This window comes from Homo sapiens, chromosome 12 (genome assembly GCF_000001405.40).
Source record: "Homo sapiens chromosome 12, GRCh38.p14 Primary Assembly".
Taxonomy (NCBI): domain Eukaryota; kingdom Metazoa; phylum Chordata; class Mammalia; order Primates; family Hominidae; genus Homo; species Homo sapiens.
In genome coordinates this window covers 124,139,232-124,153,748 of record NC_000012.12, presented here as the reverse complement: position 1 = coordinate 124,153,748, position 14,517 = coordinate 124,139,232, and the positions used below count along the sequence as shown (strand labels likewise).

The following is a 14,517-nucleotide window of genomic DNA, read 5'->3' as shown; positions in this document are numbered from 1 at the left end:
CTGCTCTGTGGCTTTACTCACCTTTCCTAAGCTGCATTCCCCCAACAAATCCACAGCACTCTACCCAAGGCCAAACCTCATTCTCTCCCCCAACTTGTCTAGAGAACGAGGCAACTCCCAAATCCTCCCTCCCTCACCACCATTGCTTCGCTGGTACAAAATTCCTTAGTTCAACAGATGTTTCAAATAACTGAAAACTAATCTGGTCCTTTTACATAGGATTTCCTCATATGAGAAAGGAAGTATTTAGGCTGTATGTGTTGGGGCAGGGGAAACAACAGAAATTTTTTTGCCTTTTGTTTTATTCTTTAGGCATGTTTTTTATTTCTACCTTTTTTTCCTTAATAACATGGAAGTTAGGCCAGGCGCGGTGGCTCACGCCTGTAATCCCAGCAGTTTGGGAGGCCGAGGCAGGTGAATCACCTGAGGTGGGAAGTTCAAGACCAGCCTGACCAACATGGTGTAACCCTGTCTCTGCTAAAAATACAAAATTAGCCAGGCGTGGTGGTGCATGCCTGTAATCCCAGCTACTTGGGCGGCTGAGGCAGGAGAATTGCTTGAACCCAGGAGGCGGCGGTTGTGGTGAGCCAAGATAGCACCATTGCACCCCAGCCTGGGCAACAAGAGCGAAACTCCATCTCACAACAACAACAACAACAAAAACATGGAACTTTGTGAAATGTGTTGAGACCCTGAGAAGTGACTTGCACAACGTCACGCAGCAGAAATGAGAACCCCGCTTGGCAGCCTCCCAGTGCTTACTTGCTCCATAATTCATGAAAGAGGCATCTGCAGAACATAACCCTTTCCCAGCTTTCAGCGAAGCTGCAGCTCCGAGAGGAGCCAGACACGTGGCCAGCCAGTCCCATGAGATGTGAATGCTGTAATGGAGGAGTGGGGGCAGGTCGTGGAAGCAGAGAAGTGTTGGCTTGGCATTGCAGGAGGAGAGGATGCTCCTGCTGAGTTTTGAAGGCTGTTGTTCTGGAGAAAAATGTGGTAGAATTTAACCTGGGAAGTGGCCATGTTGACAGGCAGAGAAGGGGAAGGGACTCCCAGAAGAGAGGACTGTGTGACAAACACCAAGGCCAGGAGGAGTGTGGTACATTTGGGAAACCAAAAGGAGGCCAATATGGTTGGCTTCAGGGTGGCTGTGCCTTTATGGGAAGCCAGGAACCTTGGAGATTGTCCTGCCAGGAATGTGAAACCATGGAATGATGTAGAGTTAACAGCATCCATTTGGGGGTCTAGAAAGATCACTCCATATGAATCAGAACTGAGGCAGGAAGACCTCTTAGGATGCCTTGGCTGTTGTTCTGGAGAAAAACATGGAAGAATTCAACTTGGGAAGTGGTCATGTTGACAGATAGGGGAGTCAGGGTGCTGGGGACACTTCAGAGAAGAGTTAATTGGTGGCCTGTGACAGCTGGTGAAAGACTGGGTGTAGGATTTTTGGATTTGGGATCTGCATGTCTAGGGATGCTGTTTGCTAAGAAATGGGAATGTGAGAACATTTTTGAGGGTGAGATGTGGAATTTACAATGTCTCCCGGCACCCAAGTGGAGATGCCTAGCCCACCCTGGAGAGTGTGTCCAGGCTGGGAAGTGAAGCTGGAGCCATCATCACAGGAGGGAGCAGATGTGTGGGCTGCACACGGTTGCTCAAGGAGAATATGAAGAGGGGATAGAAATAGATTATGGTCGGGAGATAGCATCATTTAAGAAGCAAGTGAAGGAAGAAGCCAAAGACAAGTCAAGGTGAGGTAGGAAACCAGCAGGACTTATTTTCTGGTCACAACCCTGTTGACTGAGACAGAATCTGGTTCAGACAGAATAAAGTAAAGAAACAGGCAGGAACAAGCGGATGGCTATGAAAGTGATCCCTGGCTGCCCTCAGTGCTCATTAACCTAGGACACTCCCACCAGCCCCGTAACAGTTTACAAATGCCATGGCGACGACCCAGAAGTTATCACTCCTTTCCATGACAATGACCCGGAAGTTACTGCTCCTTTCTAGAAAGTTCTAAATAATCTACCCCTCAATTTGCATTAACCTGCCCCTTAATTTGCATGTTATTGAAAGTGGGTATAAACACAGTTTCCAGGAGCCCATAGGCTGCTGATTCTGGGCACACTACCTATGAGTTAGCCCTGCTCCACAAGGAGAAATACCATTGAATAAAATATTGCTGTCTAACACCACCAGATCGCCCTTCAATTCTTTCCTGGGCAAAGCCAAGAATCCTCCCAGGCTAAGCCCCAGTTTTGGTGCTCACCTGTCCTGCAACAAATGGTCTTAAATTTTAATATCAAAATAAAACCATAAAAGTGTGGAGAGAAAAATACAGGGAAAAAATATACGTGATTTTGTAGTGGGGACTATTAGGTCTAATTTCTTGCCAGTCAATAACAATTGAATATTAGCAATTTCAACCTAATACATATCTAAATGTCACCAAAGGCAGAAAATATAATAAATGGTATTTGGGTTTTTAAAAAGTATACATATATATGTTTTTTAAAGTATATACAAGATTACAATGGGAAAATTTTTACAACATATATATATACCAAGGGTTCATAATTTAATATATAAAGAACTTCCAAAAATAAATTAAAGACAAACACTCCCTCAAACAAAGTGAGCAGGGAATGTGGACTGGTGTATTAGTTACCTACTGCTGCGTAACAAGTTATCCCAAAACTCAGCAGCTTAAACAACAAACATGTATTATCTCACACTGTCTGAAGGTCAGGAATCCAGGAGCAGCTTAACTAGGGAGGGTCTAATTCAGGGTGCCTCATGCAGTCAGGAGGTAACCTAGGGTTGTGGCCACTAAAAGGCCTGCCTGGGCCTCCAAGGTCACACCTTCTGCTGTTAGTGAGAGCCTCAGCTCCTCCCTGGTTGTTGGCTGGAGATCTCAGTCTCTCACCATGTGGACCTCTCCACATGGCAACTCACTTCCTCCAGGGCAAATGACAGAGAGAGACAGAGACAGAGACAGAGAGAGAGTTAGTTCACTGCCCACTGCCTCGTCTCCAAAGTCACACACAGGCACTTCCACTTAACTTCATTCATTAGAACCTGGCCGTTAAATCCAACCCACACTCCTTTCTTTGAAGGGAAGAGTATCAAAGAATGTGTGCAGGCATTTTTAAAACCCAAAGGGAAATTTTAAAACACAATGGGAACTTTACAAAAGATGAAATATACAATACAAATAAGCATGAAAAACAGCCCCCCTCTGCTTTCAGGGGAAATTAATTACTCCCAGGTCCACAGCACATGGAGTTTTCTCCAGCCTGCCTGTCTTCAGCAGGGCTGTTCCCTCTGCCTGCCGCGCCCCTCCCCTCCCCATCTGGCCTCCTCTTGCAACGGCCCCCTTGTCTCCTGGGAAAAGACTCCCTCCAGCCATCATGCTTAGGCCGCATGAGCCTCCTCTTATTCCTGTTATCTCATTCGTCATGCTGTATTGTAATCACCTCTCTCATTAGCCATCAAGCTCTCTCAACTCAGGGTCCATGACTTCATCATCATTTTACTTCTAGTGCCTGGCATATAGTAGACAAATAACTAGGTCTCACGTGATAAATGGTCTACCAGGTACTTTTAGGGAACACAGAACCCATGTTTCCTGGGTCTGAAAAGAGAAGTCACGAAGACTGGGCTTCACTTCCCAGCCCTCTTGGAATGCAATCCCTCCGAGTGAGGGATTTCTCCTCGCATAGACACGATCGCCTTGCAGACTCTGCAAACCTGGCTCCTCCAGTTCTCTACAGCATGGAGGCTCCACAGTGAGGCTTATTCACCCGGACACACAATTCACATCTGTTCCTAACAACGGGCATCAAGTTGGCAGCTCAGCCCTGCCATGGGCCACAGTGATAACCCCTGCTGTGTTTCACCAAATAAACTCTGGAACTCTGGAACCCAGAGACCCACCGAGCTGGGACACCCTACCTGAGCCGCAGACACCTCTCCGCAAGCAGACAACTCGTCCAAGGACTTTCCCACATGGCAGCAAGCCTGTCAGCTTCTGCTCGTCAGCATGTGTCTTGCTCTCCAGCCCTAAGTGCTCTTCAAGGACAAAAAAACCTCTGCAAACACAATCACCTCGTGCAACACTGTGGTCCGTGAAGACTCTCACCAAGTGCGGCCTGGAAAGGAGAAAAGGTGATGAGGACAAGGTGAGCTCAGGCAGCTGCTTTGTCAGTGACTTTTGAGCACCTCATAAGTATCAGTCAGCAGTGGCCACAGTGATGCTGAGTAACAAACGTATGGGTGGACACACAGCCACTGCTGAGACCGGGGGTCCCAAAGCCAAGTGCTGGACCTGTGGCTTGTTGCTTCAACCCTGGGAGGCCCACGGAGTTCTGGATGTTTGGGGGGTGCACTCATAAGCAGAAAATCCAAGCCTCTAGTCTGGCTCCCCTGGTTCTGGCTGTTACCCCATTACAGCTTCCGGACTTCAGCAGAGAAGAGCGAATTCTTTCCTCTCCCCTTACACTCTCTGGCTCAGGAAGCAGTGGAAAGATGTAGGGGTCCCAGAACCTCCCTCAACTGGTCCAGTATTCCTGCGACTGCCGACCAGACATAAACTCACCAAGTTTTTTACAAGCTTGTCCCTTCCTGGTGAGAAGCTCCCCAGATATAACAACAGAAACAGACCTATCAGGTTCTGCCAGGAAGAAAGAGCCATGCGTAAGTCAGACCTTGTGGCTCCTTCAAACACTCGGAGGCAACATTAATCTGGATTCTTGGATGAAAGGTCTAGCTTGCCTTGCCAGTTCATTTGTAAACTGGACAGCCAGAAAGCACCTCCGAGCGTGGAGACCCACTGCTCCACTGAAGCTTTTAGGGCGGCAAGGCCTTCTTCAGTAGTCTTTCTGTCTTTCTTTCAGCTGCAAATTCAGCAGCAGCATTTAATAAGAAAAACAGAAGCCACAGGAAAAAGGGAGCTCCGGAAACAACATACGGTGCAAAACCCTTTAAGTTTCAGCTGCTCCCAGTTAGAGGACACTCAACTGCTCCAGGCAAGAGCCCGACAAGGGGCCAGTTGACCAGGGAATTAATGAGCAACAGGAACACGACTCCCTTGGGAATGTTCTCTGCAAACCAGGGACATAGACGGCTCCAGGGACCAGCTGCCCCTCTCTCCCCTACATTGGCCTCTTTTTCTTCCTGTCCTTATTTCCTCCTGCCCACTCCCCTCCTCTTCTCACTGTTGCTTCCTCCTGTCCCATTATTTCCTTCTTCTCCTTTGTCAGTTCTTTAGTCCTCTTAGGGGACATCCCTCAAGCATTGCAGACTGTGTGCCATTTAAGGCCAAATACATCCCTGTCTAAGACAAAGAGAAGAATAATTAGTTACAACGGGCTGGGCATGATGGCTCATGCCTGTAATCCCAGCACTTTCGGAGGCCAAGGTGGGTGGATCACCTGAGGTCAGAAGTTCGAGACCAGCCTGGCCAACATGGTAAAACTCCGTCTCTAGTAAAAATTTAAAAAATTAGCCAGGCATGGTGGTGGGTGCCTATAATAATCCCAGCTACTCGAGAGGCTGAGGCACAAGAATCGCTTGAACCTGGGAGGCGGGGGTTGCAGTGAGCTGAGATCGTGCCATTGCACCGCAGCCTGAGCAACAAGAGCCAAACTCCATCTCAAAACAAAACAAAACAAACAAAAAAAGTAATTATAACAGCAGCCACATTTGCTGAGTGTTTATTACGTGCTAGGCACTGTTCTAAGCGTTTTGCAGTCACTAGGTCACTCCTCCAAAATGGCCTACAGATGCAAACTTCCCCTAATGCTATCCCCATTTAACACATGAGGCAGAGGGAGAGAGCAGCCTCATTCAGATGAGAAGCTTTGAAGAAAAGAGACTGAGTGCTTCCTGTTCCACCGTTTCTGTAAGGGGCCCTCTCGAAACTCCCCACGGGATTGTTGTAAAGATTCTCATTTCCTTCAGAGGCTGGTGAAGGCGTGTGCTATCATGATGTGGACCTAAAAAGGAAGCAGCATCTCTCGTTTTATAGGCACAGGCCAATGAGGCAGGCAGCAATGGGTTAATAAGCACAGGATTCTCCCTAGACTCAGCTGGCTGACCAGCTGTCCCACCCTTTTCTCGTAGCTGCATGAAATGGAGCATCAAGCATTCTAACAGTCAGGATCTGCTTGGTTGCAAATAATAAACACAACAAAAGGTGCTTCAATGATAAAGACATTTATCCTCTCCCTTTACAAGGCATTCAGAGGTAGGGCAGCTCGAGGGGTGGTTAATTCTGCAGCTCAATTATGACATCGAGGACTCCAGTTCTTTCTGTCTTCACTGCCATCTTCATGTCTCTCTTCACAGCATCAACACAGCTGCCACAGCTCCAGGCAAACATCCACATGCAACATCCCAAGGTGAGAAGGCGGCCATCTCTTCCTTGTATCTCTTTCTAGGAGCTAAGAACCATTTCCCAGAAGCCCCCAGCCAACTTCTCCTGACATCTCATTGGCTGCAACTGGGTCACATGTTCCTACCTAAGCCAAAAACAGGCAAACAGAGTGGGACCATATGTTTGCTTTGGAAACTAAAAATAACATCCTAAGCACCCCCAACCAATTGAGCAGACCCACTCTGGGCCAAGGGAAACCTGAAAAAATGAATTCCCAACCATGACAGGAAGGGAGGTCAGATACACCTCATTATTCCCCCTCCGTGTTGGAGTTTAGGCACAGCTGACCAGCATTAACATTAAAATAGAGATCATAGGCCGGACGCAGTGGCTCATGCCTGTAATCCCAGCACTTTGGGAGGCCGAGGCAGGTGGATCACAAAGTCAGGAGTTCGAGACCAGCCTGACCAACATGGTGAAACCCCATCTATACTAAAAATATAAAATTAGCCAGGCATGGTGGCATGCACCTGTAATCCCAGCTACTCAGGAAGCTGAGGCAGGAGGATCACTTGAACCCAGGAGGTGGAGGTTGCAGTGAGCTGAGATCGCGCCACTGCATTCCAGCCTGGGCAACAGAGCGAGATTCTGTCTCAATAAAATAAAATAAAATAAAATAAAATAAAATAAAAATAATGAAATAGGGATCATAAAGTTGACAGAAGACTTCATTGTGGCCATAAGATACCAAATTCTAACCTGACTCTAATATAACATCACGTGACAGATAGCAGACCCTGAGGGAAATCAAAATTGTTTACCCCAAAATCTATTTCTTGACATATTTTGAAATGACCCTTCAAAGTCGTCTTTTTTTTTTTTTTTTTTTTTTTTTTGAGACAGACTCTTGCTCTGTTGCCCAGGCTGCAGTGCAGTGGCACGATCTCAGGTCACTGCAACCTCCACCTCCTGAGTTCAAGTGATTTTCCTGCCTCAGCCTCCCAAGTAGCTGGGACTATAGGTGCCCACCACCACAACCCGCTAATTTTTTTGCATTTTTTAGTAGAGACAGGGTTTCACCATCTTGGTCACGATGGTCTCAAACTCCTGACCTCGTGATCCACCCACCTCGGCCTCCCAAAGTGCTGGGATTACAGGCGTGAGCCACCGCGCGCCCAGCCCCAAAGTTGTCTTTTGTGGGAGAAATTTGCAACTGAAGGGAATCTTCTTCCTTTTCTAGGTCTCACCCAGATGTAGAAGAGATTAAATGACAGTTTGACACCTTTAAGGTCTGAAAAGAGATATTTACCGTATTCTCCCTAAGGCTGCATCTGGAGGTTTCATCTACATAACAAGAACCTTGGCTTCTGCAACCCCTCTTATCTTAACTCAAGCATTTACCTCAAGTCTGCAGACAAAGCTTAACTTTTTCAACCAATTGCCAGTCAGAAAATCTTTTAATCCACCTGTGACCTGTAACCAGCCTCCCCCCCACTTTGAGATTCCCACCTTTTTGGGGCAAATAAATATATACCTTCCACGTATTGACTTATGTCTTTGCCTGTAACTTCTGTCTCCCTAAAATGTATAAGACGAAGCTACAACCTGTCCGCGTAGGACACATTTTCTCAGGATCTCGAGACTGTTCCTCAGGCCATGGTCACTCATACTAGCTCAGAATAAACCTCTTTAAACATTTTACTGTTTGGCTTTTTTGTCAACAATTTCAACCAATCCAAATTTGAAACAAAGGGTCAAGAAAACCACTATCTCTCCAGGAAATGGTTCCATGCTCTTTTCTTCCTGGCATCTTTACACACCAGTTATCTTCATTGCCTCCATGCACGGCCATTAACTGGATTACTGGGGATTCCTAAACAAGGAATATAAAATCAAATTTAAAATATAAATAAAAATATAAAATTAGCTGGGCATGGTGGCATGCGCCTGTAATTCCAGCTACTCAGGAAGCTGAGGCAGGAGGATCACTTGAACCCAGGAGGTAGAGGTTGCGGTGAGCCGAGATCGCGCCACTGCACTCCAGCCTGGGCAACAAGAGCAAAACTCTGTCTCGAAAAAAAAAAAAAAAGAAGGAAAGAAACAGCCTCTTACGTGATCTTTGCTGCCTGCCACCACCATCCATGCCTAGTAAAATATTCCAATGCTAGGAAGATGCTTGGAATGTCACGGAGGTGGGAATCGCTTTAAAGCAAGCAAATATTGTTAGACTCCTGGCTCTGCCACTTACTTGGTAGAGTAAGTAAGACATGGGAGAAGGGAACATGACTGTTAGATGGAAAACCAACATCTTCTGCCTTTATCAGCTTCTTTCTTGACACATTCTCACCTAAGAGTTGTCATCACACCAACAAAGAGTCCTCACACCAACAAGTTCACACTCAGCTTCTTTGCCGGCTAGGGAAACTACCTGTTCTAAATGCAAAACATGTGAAATTCATCTTTTCCCAGCCCTTTGGTCTTTCGCCTTGACAGACAAAGCTTTGCCTTGCCAGTCTGTGTCTGATCGAGTGCCAATAATGATAAGGTTAAGACAAAAAAGGGCCCAAATTCCTGGCTCGATTCAATTCAGAGATAACCACGTGCAGACGTTCTGGGTGTTTCTGTAACAAATTTTGAATTCAGCCTGTGTTTAGAAAAGACTGGTGTCACATATAAGCAGTATGGGGTCACACAAAGTTTAGCCTGATTCAGAAGTGGGTCTGAAAGAGAGAGGGAGAGAGCCAGAAAGATGACAGAGAGAAAGATCCAGAGAGATGAGCAAGAACTCAAGCCAGTCTTTTGTCTTCTTCCCCTTGCAAAAATACGGCTACATTGCTCCAAAAAAGGACAGTTGAACTCTCAAGACACAGAACACCTCAAATAATTCCCAAATATCTAACAACATCACCCTGTAATCAGTCCTACATCCTAGACTGCAAAATCACGTTTGCAAAATCTCCTGGCTAGCCCTGAATCAGTATGCACAGAGCCTAACACCAAACCTACCATTGTTTTAAAAAATCAGAGGCCAGGCGCTGTGGCTCATGCCTGTAATCCCAGCACTTTGGGAGGCCGAGGCGGGTGGATCACCTGAGGTCAGGAGTTCAAGATCAGCCTGACCAACATGGAGAAACCCCGTCTCTACTAAAAATACAAAATTAGCTGGGCATAGTGGCACACACCTGTAATCCCAGCTATTCAGGAGGCTGAGGCAGGAGAATCGCCTGAAAGCGGGAGGCAGAGGTTGCGGTGAGCTGAGATCGCACCATTGCACTCCAGCCCAGGCAAGCAAAACTCTGTCTCAAAAAAAAAAAAAATTCAGAATAAGAAAAGTCCCCTCTGTGATAGGCTGTCACCCTGTGCCGAGCATCTGACTCAGTATCCTCTATTCCTCACCTCACTGGCCCCTCCCAGGAATGCTGGGAGGTGGGTGTTATCTTTAGTGTTTGGTTTGCAAATACCCATTAACAGCTTGGAGAAGTTGTTCACTGACTCACCTGAGGCTACTACCTAGCAAGTAAGTGGCCGAGCCCGGAGTTTCACTTAAGCCTAACAATAATTATTTGCTTGCTTTTAAGCTATTCCCACCTCTGTGACATTCCAAGCATCTTCCTAGCACTGCAACACTCCATTAGGCATGGATGAAATACTTTATTAGGCACTGGAAGTAGGCACTTTATTAGCACTGGAATACTTTATTAGGCATGGATGGTGGTGGCAGGCAGCAGAGATCATATATGAGGCTGGTTCACGGCATCGTCATCATTATTTAGGAATCCCCAGTAATCCAGTTAATGGCCGTGCATGGAAGCAATGCAGAGAATTGGTGTGTAAAGATGCCAGGAAGAAAAGAGCATGGAAACGTTTCCTGGGGAGACAGTGGTCCTCTTGACCCTTTGTTTCAAAAATCACTCACTCCTCTAAAAGATGTGTACATAAAGGTTTATAGCAGCTTTATTCATAAAAGCCAAAAGGTAGAAACAACTCAAATGCCCATCAATGGATAAATGGTTAGGCCTGGTGCGGTGGCTCACGCGTGTAATCCCAGTGCTTTGGGAGGCCAAGCAGGGCAGGATTACTTGAGGCCAGGAGTTTGAGACCAGGCTGGGCAACATCGTGAGACCTCATTTCCACGAAAACATTTTTTTAAAAGGATACGTGGGTAAACAAAATGTGATCAATGTGATCTCTGCAGAGTGGACTATGATTCAGCTATCAAAATGAATGAAGCACTAATGTTACCGTCTTGCCAATGCACCGCAATGTAGCAGTCTGTCGTTGTTTGAGGTATCATCTGCAGTTCTTTGTCTTGTGAAAATTAAGGAATGTGGACACCAAGGGTGACATTCATGCTAAAGTTTAATAAGCAAAAGAGGAAAGCTCTCTGCTGCAGACAGCAGGCCTGAAAGAGGGTTGCCGTTTTTACAGTAGACTGCAAAGTCTACTTTTTTTTTATACAAAACCGATGAGGGCTGGGTGCCTCCTTTGCATAAGGCATGAATTCCTGGCAGCTCCACCCTGTCCTCCTAATGCGCACGCAGGCCCTTAGCTTGAGTTACTCCATATTGCTTCGCTCCCCTTACTGCACATGTGTCAGGGGATGGAATTTTCCACTGTGGGCCTGTCTGGGCAAGTCACCTGTGTAATCTTATCTGTGCAGCTGTGGGCATCTTAGGCAAGTCCCCCTGTGCAAGTTCCCTCATCTGTGCCTGCAGCTTGATTTTTCAGGCTGTTCTTTGGTTTGAAAGAATTCAACCGAGGACCCACCCTAACTGCCTGCCTGACTGGTTCCTTTTTCTCCTCTCTCACTGACACAGGCTACAACATGGATGAACCTCAAAAACGATGCAGAGTAAAAGCAGCCAGACATAAAAGGCCACGTAGTGCCTGACTCCATTCATGTGAAATATCCAGAATAGGTAAATCCATAGAGACAGAAAGCAAATTGGTGGTTGCCATGGGCTGGGAAGAGGGGGGATGGGGAGTGACTGCTCAATGGATATGGGGTTTCCCTTTGGGGTGATGAAAATGTTCTGGAACTAGGTACAGGTGGTGGTTACAACATTGTAACTGTCCTAAATGTCATTGAATTGTCCACTTTAAAATGGTTAGTTTTATGTGATGTGAATTTCAGCTCAATTTGAAAAAAAAAAAAAAGAAGAAAAGAGAAAGTGACTTTCCAGCTTTATAATATGAAAGGAAAATCTTGGGCCCCCAAAATCACTAAGCTAAAGGGAAAAGTCAAGCTGGAAACTGCTCAGGGCAAACCTGCCTCCCATTCTATCCAAAGTCACCCGTCTGCTCACTGAGATAGATGCATATCTGATTGCCTCCTTTGGAAAGGCTCATTAGAAACTCAAAAGAATGCAACCATTTGTCTCTCACCTACCTGTGACCTGGAAGCCCCCTCCCTGCTTCGAGTTGCCCCCACCTTTCTGGACAGAACCAATGTACTTCTTACATATATTGATTGGCATCTCATGTCTCCCTAAAATGTATAAAGCCAAGCTGTGCCCCGACCACCTTGGGCACATGTCATCAGGACTTCCTGAGGCTAGGTCACAGGTGCATCCTCAACCTTGGCAAAATAAACTTTCTAAGTTAACTGAGACCTCAGACTTTCTGGGTTTACAATAATTATCACATTCTCTGAAAGCAACACAGCCAGTTCCCTCCCAACAGGTGGGGTGAGAGGTGATACTCCAAGGAGTGTGGATGCTGCTGTCAGGAAGCGCTCAGGCACTGGGCTGTCTCCATCAAGTCTTGTTGCCATATGTGGAGCGACCTAATCTAACCATTTATCATCATTTTAAGAAACCAGAGTATTATTGTTTGAGGGCCGAAGTTCTGCAGAACCGGCTCAGGAAGCAGCAAAACACCACCGTCAATGGATATGACCATCAGAAAGGCCGGCTAACTCTCCCTCCTCCCCAGGAAACAGCTATGAAATTAGCATGTGAGCCCAAAATGCCATCATTAGGCTTGAAATAAGCTGCGGTCTCCAGCAGGAAGGAGAATAATTGAATTGGCAATGTGCTCTCTCTGACATCGGTTACCTTTTAGACAAAGCCTCACGTGTTCCTGATTTGAAATTTCATTTCAGGGGTGGGGGGAGAGATCTGGTTTCTGTCTGCTTGGGACGGGGAGGGTGAGAGCAGGCAGAGAAGAAAGGGCCTGTGTGGAGAGCTCCTGGCCACAGACATCCAAAGGAAGGGGAAATTGCAGTGACCCTAACTTTTCACTTTCAAAAGCTGAGTGATCCTTCTGCATGTATGGAATGCTGGCATGTCAATGACAAAGCCACCCTGCAGTGTGGCTCCAGATTTCCTAAGGGGGAGTGGGGGTGGGGAGAAGCCTTCATCTAGTGGAAAGGGGAACCCCAGCGCCCCACGTGAAACAAAGAACTTTTGGAAAATATTTGGATTCTTGGCTTCTGCAGGAGCCACCATTGATAAAACACCTGGAGCACCCTACGCATTGGCTGCCAGTTTGGTCACTGGGCTGTCACCTGCCCTCAGAGATGGTCCATAGATGATGTGACAAAAGACAGAGCCCAGGCCTCCCGACTTCCAAAAAGTTCTTTTTCTTTTTTTCTTTTCTTTTCTTTTCTTTTCTCTTTCTTTCTTTCTCTTTCTGTCTTTCTTTCTTTTTTTTTTCAGACAGAGTCTTGCTCTGTTGCCCAGGCTGGGGTGCAGTGGTGTGATCCTGGCTCACTGCAACCGCCACCTCCTGGGTTCAAGCAATTCTCATGTCTCAGCCTCTGTCTCCTAAGTAGCTGGGATTACAGGCATGAGCCACCACACCCTACCCCAAAGACTCCTTTTTCCATTTGCCCCATTAGCCAAGGAGATGTCACTGAATGATCTTGAAGTGCCTGGATCAAGCTGGGGTTTAATCTGGTTCTTCCCAAAGTCCTCCCCATGGTCCTCCATGGTCCCCCAGCATTCCCTGCATCCCACCATTTATAATGATTTTCTTTTCTCACCTGAAGTCAAGTCATAATTATCACCCAATCCTTTTTTCCACCTATTTATTCACTTTCTGAAGCTTCCCCACTTGGTTCTGTCAGCCTCTGTGGATTCATCCTCCCCTCCTTGAAACTACCTTCTATCTAGTGCCTCCCTGTACTGGGACCCCAAAACTTTAACTCACCTGCAGTGACACAGAGGTGTCACTGTCATTCCAGTTCAACACACGTATTGAGAATCACTCTTATCCACACAGTGAACTGAGTTTTCACCTCATTTTCACATGTATATGAGAACTTTGGAAGACTGGAATGAACCATGTTTTATCAACAGTATGGAATATTATGCAGTTGCTAAAAAGAGTGCACTAGGGCAGGGTGTTCACCTGAAGGGATAGCTGATATATTAAGTTCAGAAACAACTGGCGTTTGATCAAGGTTAGCATCGTCAGTGACGTCAATACCATGTTCTACTGATATGATGTGATGGAAATGGCACTTTACCCCTGGTATCTTCCTCCCCAAAACATATACCCCTGGTCTAACCATGAGAAATACATCAGAAAAACCCAAATTGACATTCTACAAAATAATTGGCCAAAAGTATCAAGGTCATAAAAGATAGAGACTGGCCAGGTGCGGTGGCTCATGCCTATAATCCCAGCACTTTGGGAGGCCAAGGTTAGTGGATCAACTGAGGTCAGGAGTTCGAGACCAGCCTGGTCAACACGGTGAAACCCTGCCTCTACCACTGCACTCCAGCCTGGGCAATGACAGTGAAAATCTGTCCTAAAAAAAAAAAAATCCGATATAGACTAAAGAACCATCTCAGATTGGAGGAGACTAAGAGACATGACAACTGAATGTCCTGTGGTGTCCTGGCTGGTTCCCTAAAACAGCAGGGAAATATTGGAGAAAACTGGTGATGGCTCAAAGAAGTGTGGAGCTTCTTTAATAGTAACGTGCAGCCGGGAGCAGTGGCTCACGCCTGTAATCCCAGCACTTTGGGAGGCCGAGGCAGGCAGACCACCTGAGGTCGGGAGTTTGAGACCAGCCTGACCAACTTGGAGAAACCCCATCTCTACTAAAAATACAAAATTAGCCAGGCGTGGTGGCACATGCCTGTAATCCCAGCTACTCAGGAGGCTGAGGCAGGAGAATCGCTTGAACC

The 14,517-nt window shown here is 46.5% G+C and overlaps 1 protein-coding gene across 2 annotated transcripts in view, besides 3 other annotated features; it reads right to left on the bottom strand.

Annotated features, from left to right (window-relative positions):
- The window catches only part of ZNF664-RFLNA (ZNF664-RFLNA readthrough), a 342,810-nt gene that overhangs the window by 162,276 nt on the left and 166,017 nt on the right, over nucleotides 1-14,517 (bottom strand). For both annotated transcript variants that reach the window (NM_001204299.3, NM_001347902.2), the window contains exon 3: nucleotides 3,958-4,154. The gene's annotated coding sequence lies outside the window, so the exon portion shown is untranslated. The remainder of the gene's footprint in view (nucleotides 1-3,957; nucleotides 4,155-14,517) is intronic.
- Nucleotides 7,438-8,204: an enhancer, noted in NCBI's record as "OCT4-NANOG-H3K27ac hESC enhancer chr12:124630091-124630857 (GRCh37/hg19 assembly coordinates)". NCBI's record gives its function as "activates a minimal SCP1, AML or CMV promoter by ChIP-STARR-seq in naive H9 embryonic stem cells {active_cell/tissue: H9 hESC(naive)}" and the evidence as "EXISTENCE:reporter gene assay evidence [ECO:0000049][PMID:30033119]".
- Nucleotides 12,030-12,771: an enhancer, noted in NCBI's record as "NANOG-H3K27ac-H3K4me1 hESC enhancer chr12:124625524-124626265 (GRCh37/hg19 assembly coordinates)". NCBI's record gives its function as "activates a minimal SCP1, AML or CMV promoter by ChIP-STARR-seq in primed H9 embryonic stem cells {active_cell/tissue: H9 hESC(primed)}" and the evidence as "EXISTENCE:reporter gene assay evidence [ECO:0000049][PMID:30033119]".
- Nucleotides 12,772-13,514: an enhancer, noted in NCBI's record as "NANOG-H3K27ac hESC enhancer chr12:124624781-124625523 (GRCh37/hg19 assembly coordinates)". NCBI's record gives its function as "activates a minimal SCP1, AML or CMV promoter by ChIP-STARR-seq in primed H9 embryonic stem cells {active_cell/tissue: H9 hESC(primed)}" and the evidence as "EXISTENCE:reporter gene assay evidence [ECO:0000049][PMID:30033119]".